We start from the raw sequence: 16,687 nt of genomic DNA, 5'->3' as shown, positions 1-16,687 counted from the left end.
CAAGAAAATACAACAATTATAAACATGTACACACCTAACAACAGAGACTCAGAATATATGAAGTGAAATGTGCCGGAATTGGAGGGAGAAATACACAATTCAACAATAAAATCTGGAGACTTTAATACCTCACTTGCAATAATGCAGAGAATAAATAAGTAGAAGATCAATGAGGAAAGAGAAGACTTCAACAACACTATAAAATCAGATGTAACAGGTATCTATGGAACACTTCACCCAACAAGAGCAGAATTCTCAAATAATCTGGAACAATCTATAGAATGGCTCATAAAAAAGCCTCAATAATTTTTTTCTTTTTTTTTTTTTTGAGATGGAGTCTCACTCTGTCGCCCAGGCTGGAGTGCAGTGGTGCGATCTCAGCTCATTGGAACCTCTGCCTCTGGGTTCAAGAGCTTCTCCTGCCTCAGCCTCCCGAGTAGCTGGGACTACAGGCGTGAGCCACCACACCCGGCTAATTTTTGTATTTTTAGTAGAGATGGGGTTTCACCATATTGGCCAGGCTGGTCTTGAACTCCTGACCTCAAGTGATCCACACCCCTCTGGCCTCCCAAAGTGCTGGGATTACAGGTGTGAGCCACTGCGCCCGGCCAGCCTCAATAAATTTAAAAGGACTAAAATCACACGAAGTATGTTCTCTAACTACAATGGAATTAAGTTAAAAAACAACAAAAGAAGAAAATTTGGGAAATTCTTAAATATGTGGAAGTTAAATGTCAACATATTCTTAAATAACCAATGACTCAAAAAAGAAATCATAAAGGACACGTAAAAATATTCATCCAATTTCAAACATTTATCCAAACACAGACAAGTTAAGAAAATGCAGAGCTGCTCTGACAGATAAGTAAACTTGAAAGAAAAATAATGCTTATCTTGATGAGCTATCATGAGGTTTTTGAGATGTATCTCAACTGGTCACCCAGGCTGGATTGTGGTGGCACAGTGACCATCCTGCCTCAGTTTCCCGCATAGCTGGGATTACAGGCAGGCACCATCAAACCCAGCTAATTTTAAATTTTTTTTTTGTAAAGATAAGGTCTCACTATGTTGCCAGGGCTAGTATCAAACTCCTGGCCTCAAGCAATCCTCCCACCTCAGCCTCCCAAAGTGCTGGGATTACAGGTGTGAGCTACCACACCTAGCTTAATGTGAGAATTTAATGACAAAGTTTGTTAGATTTGGAAACACTGAAGGTATTGTGTCATTAATTATCATTGATTCTGATTCCCAGCTAGGAACTAACTAATAACTATTCTGTTTCTGAGAACCCAAAATATCAAATAAAAATTACCAGACTGTAGCATATGCTCATAAAAACCAACTCATAGTGAATTATTGAGATTTTTTTTTTGGTAACAAATTATCATATTGATACATAGGGGAAATATGCAGATACTGGAGCTGAGCTTCAGAAGAGAACTGGAAAAGGTCTCACTCATCTTGGTGAACAGGATGGAGAGACCTGGACTGAGTATGAGGACCATTTAGGTGGATCCATAACTGGGTGTGCAACTCTACTCTGGAAGGTTATTTTCTAGTAATATATTAGTGCTATGGACTGTTTGTGTCCCCTCTGCCCCCCAAATTCATACATTAAATCCCTAACCCCTACTGTGCCTGTACTTGAAGATAGGGCCTATGAAAAGATAATAAAGGTTACATGAAGTCCTAAGAGTATGGCTTTTACCCAACAGGGCTAGTGTAAAGCTCTTATCCAACAGGGCTAGTGTAAGGCTCCTTTCCAACAGGGCTAGTGTAAGGCTCTTATCCAACAGGGCTAGTGTAGGGCTCTTATCCAACAGGGCTAGTGTAGGGCTCTTATCCAACAGGGCTAGTGTAGGGCTCTTATCCAACAGGGCTAGTGTAGGGCTCTTATCCAACAGGGCTAGTGTAGGGCTCTTATCCAACAGGGCTAGTGTAAGGCTCTTATCCAATAGGGTTAGTGTAGGGCTCTTATCCAACAGGGCTAGTGTAAGGCTCTTATCCAACAGGGTTAGTGTAGGGCTCTTATCCAACAGGGCTAGTGTAGGGCTCTTATCCAACAGGGCTAGTGTAGGGCTCTTATCCAACAGGGCTAGTGTAAGGCTTTTATCCAATAGGGTTCGTGTAAGGTTCTCATCCAATAGGGCTAGTGTTTTTACAAGAGGAAGAGACACCAGAGCTCTCTCTGCCATGTGAGGACACAGCAGGAAGGCAGTTATCTACAAACCAGGAAGAGACTCCTCAATAGGAACTGCACTGGCCAGCACCCTGATCTTGGACTTCTCAACCTCCACAACTATGAAAAAATAAATGTCCTTTAAGTCACCCAGTCTGTGGTATTTTGTTATGGCAGCCCTACTGACTAATACAGCTAAGGAGCTATGATACTTACCAAGTTACTATGACTACTGACTGAGGTGGGTACTAATTTAAACGCAGAACTGAGTGACAAAAAGAGCCTAACAGTTTGCAAAGAGACCAAACCTAACAGGATGACATTCAATACAGATAAATATATGATTCCACCCCTGCATACAAGTAAATAAACACAAGTAGCTAACTTTCACTGAGTGCTTTCTATGTGTAAGACACTCTTCAAAGTCTTTAATTGGTATTATCTCAATTACTTCTCACAATAAGCCAGTGAGTAAATTTTGCTATTATTCCTATTTCTCAGGAGGCTAAAAAACTTGCCCAACGTCACATGGCTGGGAGTGGAAGAGCCAGGAAGAGTCCAGGAGGTATGACTCCAGACCAGGCCTCTGGACCACTGCACTCCCACTACCTCTCCAGGCAGGGATGCAGTCATCAGTCAATAGAAGCAGTCCACACAAACCAACCCTGTAAGTTGTAACCGATGGTGAGACCAAACAGTCAATGTGAACAGCAATACTCTACTCCTCAAAGTAACACATTCTTAGTTTCAATACATTTAATATTGATATAAATCTAGAATACTGGCAAATACAGTCCTGCACCTACCACTAAGCCACATCAAATACCTTTTGGTAATAGATAAGATATAATAATTTTGCTCGTGAATATTTTTATTCTTGCATGAGCATGTGAGGAAGGGCTTCCAGAACTCCTCTCCTCCACTGGCCTAATTTCCTGGTTGCTTCTTGCACTGGTTGGAATCAACTGCTAGGCAAATGCATACACCAGCTTCTCTCCCCTCCACTTTCATAGTTATTTTACAATCACAAGCAACTAGATTAAAAGGCAAGTAAAATGTTTGTGTTTAGTTTAGCAACCAAATAGCAGTAATAGTAATAGAAATTTCATTTCTATTAGGAAAAACATCCCTTCATGGAGTTTGATGAGTTTGCTCTGCCGTACCCTTTCATCAGCTGTGCTGCTGTGAAGTAAGCAGCCATCGCTTGGTCGTGCTCACTCTCCACCGCAAATGAATGTCCATAGGCTATCCATGCAGGTCCATAGGTTTTCTCAAGTGTTGTGGCTTTGCTAAAACAAAAGAGTTAATTTAAGTCATATAGTATTTATTCTTTTTTTTTTTTTTTTGAGACAAAGTCTCACTTTGTCGCTCAGGCTGGAGTGCAGTGGTGCGATCTCGGCTCTCTGCAGCCTCCGCCTCCAGATACCAAGCAATTCTCCTACCTCAACCTCCCGAGTAGCTGGGATTACAGGCACCCGCCACCATGCCCGGCTAATTTTGTATTCACAGTAGAGATGGGGTTTCACCATGTCGGTCAGGCTGGTCTTGAACTCCTGACCTCAGGTGCTCCACCCACCTTGGCCTCCCAAAGTGCTGGGATTACAGGCGTGAGCCACTGCGCCCAGCCTATTTATTATTTTTTATTTTTAGAGACAGAGTTTTGCTCTGTCGCTGGAGGCTGGAATGCAGTGGTATGATCATAGCTCACTGCAGCCTCAAAATCCTGGGCTCAAGTAATCCTTCTGCCTCAGGCTCTTGAGTCACTGAGATTACAGGCACGAGCCACTGTGCCCAGCTAGTATTTATTCTTGAATTGTTAATTTTATATAAGGAGATGGCCTCAAAAACATTAACATCCATTTAGTAAACAAGCTGTCACCACATTAAACACTAATGTAACATTTGTGTTGATTCATTTGAACTAAAACTGTTTAATAGTATAGCAAAATTTTAAGAAATTTGAGGAGATCCACAGCTTTTTATGCACTGTAGCAAAACCCATTAGCATTCTAAATAGAACTTACAGATATTACTTAATCCAGGAGCTCCATTTTGTAACCTAGTAGATACATCCTCTCATCCTAATAACTTGCAAGATAAATTCATTTATATTTTAAAGACAGGTATACCAAGGCTTGAGGGATTAGGCGATATCCTATAGATGATGGTCAACAGATATACCCTGGTTACAGGGACTGGACTCATATATATCAGTGAATAATTGTATACAGTGAACACTGTATAATTAACCCACAAGGAATAAAGAGAACATATCACAAAACGTGGAAGACATAGGGGGTGATACCCTACTTCCTTGTATTTTAAGTTTTCTTTTATCCAAATGTTACCTGTTTCATGTAGAGCAGGGGTCCCAACCCCTGGGCCACAGACTGGTATCAGTCCCTGGCCTATTAGGAACCAGGCGGCACAGCAGGAGGTGAGTGGCAGGCAGGTGAGTAAAGCTTCATATGTCAAGAAAGAACTTGCCATTTGAAAAAAAAAAAAGCTTAATCTGTATTTACAGCCACTCCCCTTCACTTGCATTTCCGCCTGAGCTCTGCCTCCTGTCAGATCAGAGGCATTAGGTTCTCGTAAGTGCGCAAACCCTATTGTTAACTGCACATGTGAGGGATCTAGGTGGCGCACTCCTTACGAGAATCTAATGCCTGATGACCTGTCGCTGTCTCCCATCTCTCCCAGATGGGACCATCTAGTTGCAGGAAAACAAGCTCAGGGCTCCCACTGATTCTTCATTATAGTGAGTTGTATAATTATTTCATTATATGCTACAATGTAATAATAATAGAAAAAAGCACACGATAAATGTAATGCGCTTGAATCATCAAGAAACCAGTCCCCCCACCCTGGGAGGGGGGGCTTCTACAAAATGGTCCCTGGTGCCAAAAATGTTGGGGACCACTGATAAGAGTCCATCACTGAATTGCACGCTAGATCAAAGCAGCATAGCTCAAAATAACTTTTACAATACTAATCATCTTTCTATGTAGAAGTTCTTCTAAAATGCTGAACATACAACCAACCAGGGAACATTCTAGTTTCTTCCTAGTACAGGGTACTTTCGTGGCATCAGTCTTCCTAACAATCCTGCTATATGAGTATGACATCTCCCCCACCCCCACTCCCTTTTATTTTTTTTGAGACAGAGTCTCACTCTGTCGGCGAGGCTGGAGTGCAGTAGTGCAATCTCAGCTCACTACAACCTCCACCTCCTGGACTCAAACAATTCTCCTCCCTCAGCCTCCCAAGTAGCGGGGATTACAGGTGCATGCCACCATGTCCAGCTGATTTTTTTATTTTTAGTAGAGACAGACTTTCACCATGTTGGCCAGGCTGGTCTCGAACTCCTGACCTAAGGTAATCTGCCTGTCTCGGCCTCCCAAAGTGTTGGGATTACAGGCGTGAGCCACCACGCCTGGCTGACATCCCCATTTTTAAAGAAAGAGAGAGCAGGAGAAATTAACTTTCCCAAGGAATTTCAGTTGGTAAGTCACAGAACTTGGATTAGAATTCAAATTTGACTCCAAAGTTTATGCTGTTTCCGTTAGAGACCAATTCTGTTTTATTTGCACGGAAGAAACCACAGAAATTAGAACATTTACAGAGTTTAAGTAATTAATTCTTCACATACTTGACATTTTTCTAAACTTGAATAATACTGGTTAAATAGCTTCACTAGGCTGCATGGCTTTCCTTAAGTTAAAACCACAGCAAATCATTACATGAATCAGTTCACCCTGCTAAGAATTCTGTTTTATAGTCACATTTAGTGACCCCAATTTTACATAAAGTTTTGTGTAATTTCACAACTATTAATAAAAGAAATCCTAAAAGTAAAAGGTTAACAGGATCTCTGTAAGCGAAAGAGAGAAACTTTCAAACTACATTATTCTCTATTGTTTCATATTTATTCTCATTTATTAATTATTATTATTATTTTTTTGAGACAGAGTTTTGCTCTTGTCACCCAGACTGGAGTGCAATGGTGCGATATCAGCTCACTGCAACCTCCACTTTCCAGGTTCAAGCGATTCTCCTGTCTCAGCCTCCCGAGTAGCTGGGATGCAGATGCCCACTACTATATCTGGCTAATTTTTTGTATTTTTAGTAGACAGAGTTTCACCATGTTAGTCAGGCTGGTCTTGAACTCCTGACCTCAGGTGATCCACCTGCATTGACCTCCCAAAGTGCTGGCATAACAGGTGTGAGCCACCATGCCTGGCCATTTATTCTCATTAATAAATAAAATATGTAGGTTCCCTGAGAATAGGGTCTACATCACTGATTTTTTTTTTCTCTCTCTCCCCATGGCATCTTATAAAGAACAAACCACTTGAAGAAAACATTTATTCAGCCAGGCATGGTGGCTCATGCCTGTCATCTCAACACTTTCGGAGGCCGAAGCAAGAGGACTGCTTGAGGCCAGGAGTTCAAGACCAGCCTAGGCAACACAGTGAGATTCGTCTCTACTAAAAAAAAAAAAAAATGTTTAAATCAGCTAGGCATGGTGGTGCCTGTAGTCCCAGCTACTCGGGAGGCTGAGCAAGAGGATCATTTGAGTTTGAGGTGAGCTATTATTGCACCACTGCACTCTAGTCTGGGCAACAGAGTGAGAACCCTCGAGAGAGAGGGGAGGGGAGGTGAGAAGGAAAAGAAAAGGCAAGAAAGAAAGAGAGAAAGAAAAGAAAGGAAGAAAAAAAAAAACATTTATTCTTTCACATTGCTTTTAAAGTACTCACTAATTACTACTTGAAAGCTTATGAGCAAGACATCAATTCTACAGGTTAACTAGAGAGGAAAAAAATAAATTCATACCTGAGATATCTTCTGGCATGTTCATTTTTATGACCGACCATGAGATAGTAACATCCCACTGCAAACCAAGACACCTAAAAAGTTCAAAATTTACCATAAACAAAGATTGGAATTGGAATATCTAATTGGAATCTGCAACAAATTAGGGTAGACAGAGGGTATACTACATGTTCCTTATCACATATTCTAGTTAAGTTAGACATTTCTCTAATACAGTCTACTAAGGTCCAAGAGAAGAGGGCAGACACTCCATGGCTCTTTCTCAAGGAGACGTCTACACAAGACAAGGCCCCTGAGGAGTCCCTGTTTCAAAAACCAGCCTGTGAGTCCTGACTCCCCTGCACTGCTCATCTCCCCCAGCCTGACCCTGGCTCTTCCTTGCTCTCTGTCCGAGTTCTGACTATTTAGCTGGTTTTCTCTTGCTCTGGTTTCACACTGGGATAGGGTGCAAATTCTTGTCGTCTGAGTCTTACACCCTGATTCCTGATTTTGTCCTTAAAGACGCAGTCCCTGATTCCATTTTCCATTCCTAGTTCTCCATTCCGATCCATGACAGTTTGGAATCAGTACACAATTCAACAGGTTGTCTTACATGTGCAATGTGAGAAAGCTGCCAAACAATTATCCACATTTCTTAGGAAAGGGAGGCGTGACTGTCATGGTCAGTATTTTATATTGCTATACGCTAAGTATTTTAAAATAAGCATGTATAACTTCTATAATCAGAAAAAAGGGTTTAAAAACCTTTTTGCTTTGGTATAATTAAAAAATACCTTCATGGGTTGAAAAGTTAATGCTGCTTTTGTAAGTACAATAAACACTAGGAGATTCTGTTGCAACACTTTAATAAAACATCATTTGCTTGAACTTAAGCTATTGTCTAAATACGAGTTAAGCATTTTCTTAAAGTACAGGTAAAAAAAAAAAAACTAAGACTAAAAGTTATATTACTTACAGGATTACTAGGATATAAATCCACCAGTTTATGAGAAAGATAGAAAAGTTCTGTTCAGGAAAAAGCAGAAAAAGAACAATTGTTCGTATCACATGTAATTTAAGACATGATTTCATTACAACTCTTCACAATCATATAATTCTGCTCTTACAGCAATGATTTCATACTTGTCTTTCCTTCTAGATAAAAAATTAACTCTCTAACTGGAGAGTTAGATGAAGGACACACTGTGGGCAAGGTGGGAACAGACACCCCCTAAGACAGCACTTCCCGAATACTGCAGAGGATACAGCAAAGCACCTCACCTCTCTTAGAAGCTCATGCCTGTCACACCAAGGGCCCATTATGGACCATCATAATCACCCACAACCAATTTGGCTGAACAAACTTTCAAGTTTATCAGATCAATGATACTATTTAATCTTGAGAAATGTGTAAATCCTGGCATTTCAAGATGATGTTTCCTGCATGCAGACTTGGATTCAGTAGACCAGAGCAGCTGGAGATGCTGCATTTCCAACCAGCTTCCACAAATGCGATGTTGCTGGTCCACGAACCACACTCTGAGCAGCAGGGATTCGGTGAGGGTTTTCCTTCCTGACAGAGCTCACCATTCAGTTTAGAAAAATTTAAGGACAAATGCATCCCCAAACACAACTAAATGTCAAATGTTAAAAATACGGAAAACATGAGCAAACAATCTGCTCCTTTCCAATTTCTAAGTAGTTATCAACTCTTACCATATCAGATTTCCAGTGGAATTTACAAAAAAAAAAAAGGGGGGGGGAGGCAGAACTGACACCCAACAATTTAAAGCTAACAAACCTTGAAACATAAATGATATTTGAGAAAAGGTAGTAGGAAGCAGTGATAAAGAACTAATTGTTCTGATGGGAAAACAAAATTGGCCATTTGCTACTTTCCTAAACATTTCCTCCCCAGTTGTTACTTTTATAGTAGGGTTCCATTATGTTGTTACCTGCAATCTCAACTATCCAGAATTTCAGAGACAAAATTTCAAGTTACAGAAAAGATTTGTTTTATGTCTAAGAATTACTTTAATTTAAAAAAAAGTCTTACCATTGGCTTTATTCAGCTCTACAAGCGTCCCTATATGTACAGGTAAACAACTTGCATGGAAAGGATCTTTCTCCATTACTCTGAAAGTTAAAGCGACACATTACTACCCCCAAACCAGCAGGTGACAGCACTCACGACGATCGGCTATGTGTAGACAGTCATTATGGTATCACATATGATGCTGTGGGTTGTAACACTTCACTTTCTTCACTCCATTATCTTCAGGTTGATTCAGTTAAGGCCATAATTAAGTTACAAATGAAAGAAAAAATTCTGGTTTATTTGAAAGGAATAAAAATAAACATTATCACATACATTTACTTTAAGTCAACAGAATTGTAATACATAAAATAAGTAGGCCGCTTATTTAAAAGAATCAAAACCAACAGGAAATCCTATTAGGTTGGTGCAAAAATAACTGCAGTTTTACCACTACGTTCAACAGCAAAAACTGCAATTACTTTTGCACCAAACTAATAAATAGGTTATGTGTATTTGCCAATTAAAATTTTTGTAATTTCAAGGATTTTAAACCGAACCAAGATCTACAAAAAATAGCATATGTCATTTAGCTAAAGTTTAAATTAGGTACACTGGAAAACTGATACATGTGGGAGATGGCTTAGCTACTGCGTGCAGCATATTAAACACCTAGTATCTACAGTGTGAGTCTCATAATTGAGAATAAATTTTACAAAACAATGTGCCAAAATGGAATTTTCAAACTTGCAAATTATCAAGATCAGTAAGAGCAACATGTATATCCCTCCCAAGTTAATGTAATAAATCTACAAATATGCACAAATTCATGTCTGTAAATTGCTCTTTTAAGACAGCACCCTGTTCAGTGCTCTACAATTGGTAAAGATAACTTAAATTATCATCTAGTTCAAGATTATTCAGAGAGCACGTCCGTGAATCACCTAGGTAAGATGGAGTGAACTCCATGTTCCTACAGAAAAATGGATGGATATACTTACACAGAAGTAAGCTTGTAGCACATTTTAAAATCACAGTTATAATAATGTCTCTCAGCTAAAGACACTACCACATCCAGATTCTCTTGCAAGCCATCTACAGATTCAGGGATGACCGTTTCACTAGGCTTATTATACTGAAACACATAGAAATGTAAACATAAACTCAATGAGCAAAAACAAAATAAAATGTGGATTCAATTTGTGTTTGGCCCAAGTGGTTAAAACATTTACAAGAACAAATGTGAGAGCCTCTGAAAACTTATAACTTTAGGTTTTATAAGTACTCCTCTCAGTAAGTTTAATTCCCTTCTCAATTTTAGAACAGAATTCCACAGCGGGACGTATTTCTCAAAGTAAACATTCAGGAAGCATAACAAAAAAATCTTCATTTCCATGCAACACCATTCCATTTACATTTACTTGGTAATTCAATCTTTTAGTATAAGGAGTCTTTCAGAGGAAAAAGGTATTTTTGAAAGCTTTTTTTTTTTGGAATCTTATGTATCTTAAACGCTCTATTCTTAAAAATGTGCTAAATTTAAAAAGTTTTAATTTTGAAAACTTAATATAAGACTAGATGCCAAATTTTATGGAATAAGATATTTACATAAAGCAAGTGCTAACTCTTTGGTTTTACTTACTTTTTTCAATTTGTTCTCAAATAGAAAACGCAGCAATTCCTGTTCTTCATTACACAGCTTGCTAAGGGGTAGTGATTCAAGAAGTTCTTTTTCTTAAAAATGGTGAGAAAAAAAAGAATATCCTCATAATATTTATAGAGGGGAAAAAGCCAACAACTAAAAATATGATTCTACAGTTCTTGGTCTAAGTAAATCAAACTCAAAAGAGAACATAAGATCAAAATGTGCAACAGAAGCTGACACAGTGGCTCCAGGCCTGAAGACGGGAATCATCTGGTGGGTGGAGGCTACTCTTTCAGGGCTGAGGCAGGTCCCCAGGTGGCTCTTGTCACCTAAGAACCACCAGCCTCCGCACTCCTGACTGCGTGGATCTTGCTCTGCTGGGAACAGGGGAGCCTGTGTACTGCAGGTGCTAAGCAGGACCTCTGGCCACTAACCACTAGATACCAGCAGCAACCTCTCAACCTCCCTCCCTGCCCCTAAGCTGTGACAAACAACATCTCCAGACATTGCCAACTGTTCCCGGGGCAGGGGGCGGCAAAATCACTCTGGTTGGTTGAGAACCACTGCACTAGGCTAAAATATGTTAGAATCCCATTAATCCAACCACTCTATTTTCTGTTTCCCTTGTTGACGCACCTCACACCACTGCCAACATACTTGGACTGATTCTCAGTGCCTGTGGTACATTAGGATCACCTGGGAGCTTTAAAGCATCTGCTCTGGAGTTGGGAACTGGACATGGATGTTTCTCTGTCTTCCCAAGGATGTAAAGAGCAACACGGTTGAGAATCACTGCATGAGATACTGAAATCCTGGTTTATACTATCTCAATCACTTCTCAAAAAGATGGCCTCTTCCTATCACAATCCCTAGATTCGGACAGCACAAGGCACCGTACAATACTGCATTCTGCAACGTGCTTTACATTTGAAGACATTAAGAAAGTGAGTAGGTCTATTTAAACCTGTATGTGGCCTGTTGTTGACTTAGAAGATTTCAGAGGCAAAAAATCCAAACAATATTAATTTTGCTAAACATAAAACAAAAAAGCCTGAGTTTCCAAACCTTCTTGTGCTGTCAGCATGTGATGTGATGTTAAAAGATCGAACGCTTCAAAACAGTAGACATCAAGCTTCAAAGCTTCTTTGTAGCTGTAGGTAGCCAGGGTTCGGTTATCTAGAGCATCATAGATTTTCCCGCGTAGAAGACAGATAGAACTCTTTATCTGTTGGAAAAATGATGAGTCACATATTAAGTCAGTACTTTTAAACTTAACTTTTTTTTTTTCTCCTTAGAGGCAGAGTCTCACTCTGTCTCCCAGGCTGGAGTTCAGTGGTGCGATCATAGCTCACTGCAGCCTTGAACTCCTATGATCTCAAATGACCCTCCTGCCTCAGCCTCCTGAGTAGCTAGGATTACAGGTGCACAATACCACAAACAGTTAATTTTTTAAATTTTTTGTACAGACAATCTTGCTATGTTGCCTAGGCTGCTCTCAAACTCCTGGCCTCAAGTGATCCTCCCACTTTGGCCTCCCGAAGTGCTGAGATTACAGGCATGAGCAACCATGCCTGGCCCTTAAACTTAACTTTTGATAGAGAATTGTGTATTTGAATGCTGAGAAGTTTTTATTGCATTTAAAAGGATTTAGTCAATCACAACTGTCAAGGCATAAATAAAAACACACAAAAAATGCACAGCAAAGCTTCTTCAATTCACCTTCCCTGGGCTTCAACTGCTCTGTTCCAACACATCTTTATAACAAAAGTACATGTCACGGCTACTAGGTTCATTACCTGTTTTGTCCAAAACAGTGCAATGATTTAGAGATGGCAGAGTGTGTGTGCATGTGTATAAAACTCCAAGATTGACAGTGTGATAGGCAGACACCCCTCAAAAGGATCTTAATGAGCAGAAACTGGCAGCAATGCAGCAGAGTGGTCACAGCAGTCAGCACAATGGCCTGCTGAGGCAGCACAGACCTGAGTTCAAACCCCAGCTCTGCCAATTACTTGTAACCTCGGACAAGTGATTGAACCTCTCTTGGCCTCCATTTCCTATCCTCATCTGTAAAAAGATAAAAACACTATCTAACTTATAGAACTCTTTACTATCTAACTTATAGAAGTCTGTGAGGGCTAGAGATGCTACCATCTCTGTGGTGCTAGCACATAGTAAGGCGTTCAACAGCCATCTCACGACTACCATAAACACGAAGATGTGGAAATCTGATGCACATTCTAGACTCTGGACCTCGAACACATAACTGAATTTAAAGATGATCCAGCAACAGGCAGCTAGTATCATTAAGGATATGAAGAAGATTCATAAAGTAAAATTTTAGAAAAAATAATGAATTATGAGAGTCTTCGAACTAAGCAATATCCTAGGAGTTGTTTTTTAAAAATGTAATTTCACAAAATAAATAATAATGCGTTGCAAATAAATCACACATTTCATAGCAAATAAGTTAATGGATAAGAGGTCCCAAAATAATGACTGTACCACACACTTTCATAAATGCATTTCTTAACAGAAGAATCTGCTTCCCAACACATACATTAATGAGTGGCCAGAAAAAAAAACAAAAACAAAAACCTAGAATGTGTAATATTCTTTTATGCTTAAAAATAACTATCTAAGGTGAAAAGTCAAGTAATAAACTTCTACCAAAAATATAAATAAATGGGCCAGGTGCAGTGGCTCATGACTGTAATCCCAACACTTTGGGAAACTAAGGCAGGAGGATCACTTGAGCCCAGGAGTTTGAGACCATCCTGGGCAACACAGTGAGACCCTGTCTCTACAAAACATTTTTTAAAAAATTTAGCCAACTGTGCCGGGCACAGTGGCTCACACCTGTAATCCCAGCACTTTGGGAGGCCGAGGTGGGCAAACCACGAGGTCAGGAGATCGAGACCATCCTGGCTAACATGGTGAAACCCCGTCTCTACTAAAATAGCAAAAAATTAGCCGGGCATGGTGGCGGGCGCCTGTAGTCCCAGCTACTCGGGAGGCTGAGGTGGGAGAATCACTTGAGCTTGGGAGGTTGAGGCTGCAGTGAGCTGTGATTGTGCCACTGCACTCCAGCCTGGACAACAAAGCAAAGACCCTGTCTTAATTTAAAAAAAAAAGATGTGGGAAGAAAGAGAAATTGGTAGGTCAGGTAAGGCTTACAGGGATTCTTTCTGAATAATAAAAATATTCTAAAATTGACCATGGTGAGGTTTGCAAAGCTCTGTGAATACACTAAAAGGAATCAAACCATACAGTTTAAATGGGGGAACTGCATGGCATATAAATTATACCTCAATAAGTTTTTATTTTTTTTTTTAAATCCAGATTAGTGATCTGTAAATGTCACTTAATAAGTTACTATATGATGTCTGCCAGCAAGGAATGTGCAATTTCATGGAGATATGAAGTATACAAACTGAAATATACACAATTACATAGCAATGTACTTTGAAGCAAACAGAACACAAAACCATTTCCTGGAAAGAAACAATGTACGCTAATCAAAGTTTCTTGGTGTAGGTCCAAAACACTGCTGAAACACAGAAAGGAGAAGAAAAATTATTCCACTTTTAGGGAGTAGCTTAAGGCATCAAATATGAGAAGGAAGTTTCAAGCCAGCCTATTTTGGATGCAGGCATCTGCGGATACAATTACAGCTTGCAACTAAGGGCTCAGAAATGTCTCAGAATCTTTTTTGGTTTTGGTGGGCAAATTAAATAAATTGGCAACCACAATTGTTTTAATATAGTAATAAGTAAAAGAAGATAATGTGTTTCTGCCACGTAATGAGGGCAATTCTCGCCGCCGTTACTGAGCTGTGCTCACAGTACTACTTACTGAAGACTGTGACATTTCCCAGTCGCTGGAAGGATCTTTGAAGCCACTTTCGTCCTTCAAGTATTTTTCAAATAATCTTTTATTGATGGGCTCTTCCATGTCAAGAACATCAAGGGCCTGCTGGTGCTCTTTTGCAGCATACTACGTGGAAAACAGAAGTGCCGCTCATCACTCACGACTTCTAACACGAAACACATGATCCGAATTTTTAAAGGATAACATATACTATGCCCATTATTTAAATGTGAAATGTCTAAAGTAGAATTTTCTTCATGCATGTCAGCATGTGGTAAACGAAGAATCAGTATTTTATAGCAAACATGACTAAGGAAAGGAACACTTCCTCATGAAATACTTTACTAACCTGCTAAGCTCCATCACTAAAATTCTCACACATATTTAAGAGATGCATAACACTCATTTTATTCAACCAAATAAAAATGAAATTATGAGCATACTTACATGGCACCTAGCTGCAAGGTAACGACATGCTTCATACAACTAGGAAAGAAATTAATTTGTTTAAGTAGTGGTCAAAATAATATGTATCTTCACTTTCAAAGAAAGCCATAAGCATAAAATAGAACTAATTTCATAATTTCTCCTTTTACTCTTGCAGTTAAAAAAAAAATCCAGTCCTGTTAAACCATATTTATTATGAACCTACTGTTTACTAGGCACCAAGGATTCAAAAGCAGTAAGGCCCTGCCCCAGGAGGTTACAGTAGGGGAGATGTGAACTAAGCACAACAGGTAAGCATGACGAAACGGGGCAACAGAAAGCATCAACCAGGTGGAGAAGTAAACATCTGCAGGAGAGCGAGTAAGTGAGGCAGCGAGTAAGTGGTCAGGCAGAGGAGTGGAGCACTGGGTAGCTCTTCAAGCACTGAGTGTGAATAACTGCTGGGGGTCCAAGGAGATCGCAGCAGCTCCACTTCAGGCACTGAGTGTGAATAACTGCTGGGCGTCCGAGGAGATCGCAGCAGCTCCACTTCAGGCCCTGAGTGTGAATAACTGCTGGGCGTCCGAGGAGCTCGCAGCAGCTCCACTTCAGGCCCTGAGTGTGAATAACTGCTGGGCGTCCGAGGAGCTCGCAGCAGCTCCACTTCAGGCACTGAGTGTGAATAACTGCTGGGCATCCGAGGAGATCGCAGCAGCTCCACTTCAGGCCCTGAGTGTGAATAACTGCTGGGCGTCCGAGGAGCTCACAGCAGCTCCACTTCAGGCACTGAGTGTGAATAACTGCTGGGCGTCCGAGGAGATCGCAGCAGCTCCACTTCAGGCCCTCAGTGTGAATAACTGCTGGGCGTCCGAGGAGCTCACAGCAGCTCCACTTCAGGCACTGAGTGTGAATAACTGCTGGGCGTCCAAGGAGATCGCAGCAGCTCCACTTCAGGCCCTGAGTGTGAATAACTGCTGGGTGTCCAAGGAGCTCACAGCAGCACCACGTGACTGGAGCACGTGCTCCAGGTATTGATGGTGGTGGATTAGACGCAGAGTGGAGAGAAAACAAGGAGGGCCTCACAGACCTACTGATGCATCTGACTTTATCCTGCAGCTAATGGGAAGTCACTGAATGACTTTGTGGGAATATAACCACATCCGTGTTTTAAAGACTACTCACTCCTGTAATAGTTCACAAGATGAACTTGTGACAGGGAAGATAAGAAGAGAGAAACTGTTACTGGGGAAAAGAGACAAGAAGAGAGGCTGTAACAGAACAGACAAAAAAATCAAAGGCCTGACACGTACGAGTGGGGAGGAAGAGGAATATCCATGATTCCAGAGCTGTTTAGAAAACAGTCTTCAGAATTTAGAGACTAGATGGGAGATGGGGGAAAAAGAAGGTGACAGATTAGGTATAAGACATTTTCCCTTCACTTTCACTAAAAAAAAACTGGGCCTACTGTGATGACTCACATCTATAATCCCAGCACTTTGGGAGACCAAGGCGGGAGGACTGCTTGAGACCAGGAGTTCAAGACTAGCCTGGGCAACATAGTGAGGCTCTGTCTCTACCAAAAAAATTTAAAAATTAGCTGGGTGTGGTGGCATGCACCTGTAGTCCCAGCTATTAGGGAGGCTGAGGCAGAAGGATCACTTGAACTCAGGAGTCTGAGGTTATAGTGAGCCACGATCATCCCACTGCACTCCTGGGTGAC

General features: G+C 40.6%; 1 protein-coding gene, 1 long non-coding RNA gene and 1 other non-coding gene across 22 annotated transcripts in view; 1 reads left to right on the top strand and 2 right to left on the bottom strand.

Moving 5' to 3' along the window:
* Positions 1-3,401, top strand: part of LOC105370384 (uncharacterized) — a 30,962-nt gene extending 27,561 nt beyond the window's left edge. Inside the window, exons 3-4 of the long non-coding RNA XR_007063887.1 lie at positions 2,681-2,846; positions 3,298-3,401. This is a non-coding gene — a long non-coding RNA (uncharacterized LOC105370384). The remainder of the gene's footprint in view (positions 1-2,680; positions 2,847-3,297) is intronic.
* CDC16 (cell division cycle 16) overlaps positions 1-16,687 on the bottom strand; it is a 37,827-nt gene that overhangs the window by 18,707 nt on the left and 2,433 nt on the right. For 19 of the 20 annotated variants that reach the window (XR_001749714.3, XR_245358.3, XM_011534853.3 and 16 more), the window contains 9 exons: positions 14,989-15,027; positions 14,527-14,667; positions 11,737-11,896; positions 10,669-10,760; positions 10,028-10,161; positions 9,048-9,127; positions 7,968-8,017; positions 7,013-7,086; positions 3,343-3,468 (listed from right to left, as the gene is read on the bottom strand). Coding sequence is in view for 18 of the 20 variants with exons in the window: in XM_011534853.3 (XP_011533155.1) it covers positions 3,343-3,468; positions 7,013-7,086; positions 7,968-8,017; positions 9,048-9,127; positions 10,028-10,161; positions 10,669-10,760; positions 11,737-11,896; positions 14,527-14,667; positions 14,989-15,027 (896 nt within the window). In the remaining 2 variants the exon portion in view is untranslated. Of the gene's footprint in view, positions 1-3,342; positions 3,469-7,012; positions 7,087-7,967; positions 8,018-9,047; positions 9,128-10,027; positions 10,162-10,668; positions 10,761-11,736; positions 11,897-14,526; positions 14,668-14,988; positions 15,028-16,277; positions 16,346-16,687 lie in introns of all 20 variants that reach the window. The other variant, XM_047430754.1, reaches the window with a different exon arrangement.
* Positions 9,456-9,512, bottom strand: MIR548AR (microRNA 548ar). Its single transcript, NR_049839.1, has one exon. It is a non-coding gene; the product is annotated as a microRNA 548ar (primary transcript).

The sequence above is a fragment of the Homo sapiens genome, chromosome 13, assembly GCF_000001405.40.
Source record: "Homo sapiens chromosome 13, GRCh38.p14 Primary Assembly".
Taxonomy (NCBI): Eukaryota; Metazoa; Chordata; class Mammalia; order Primates; family Hominidae; genus Homo; species Homo sapiens.
Note: the sequence above shows the minus strand (reverse complement) of the source record. Positions and strands in the feature narration are given on the sequence as shown.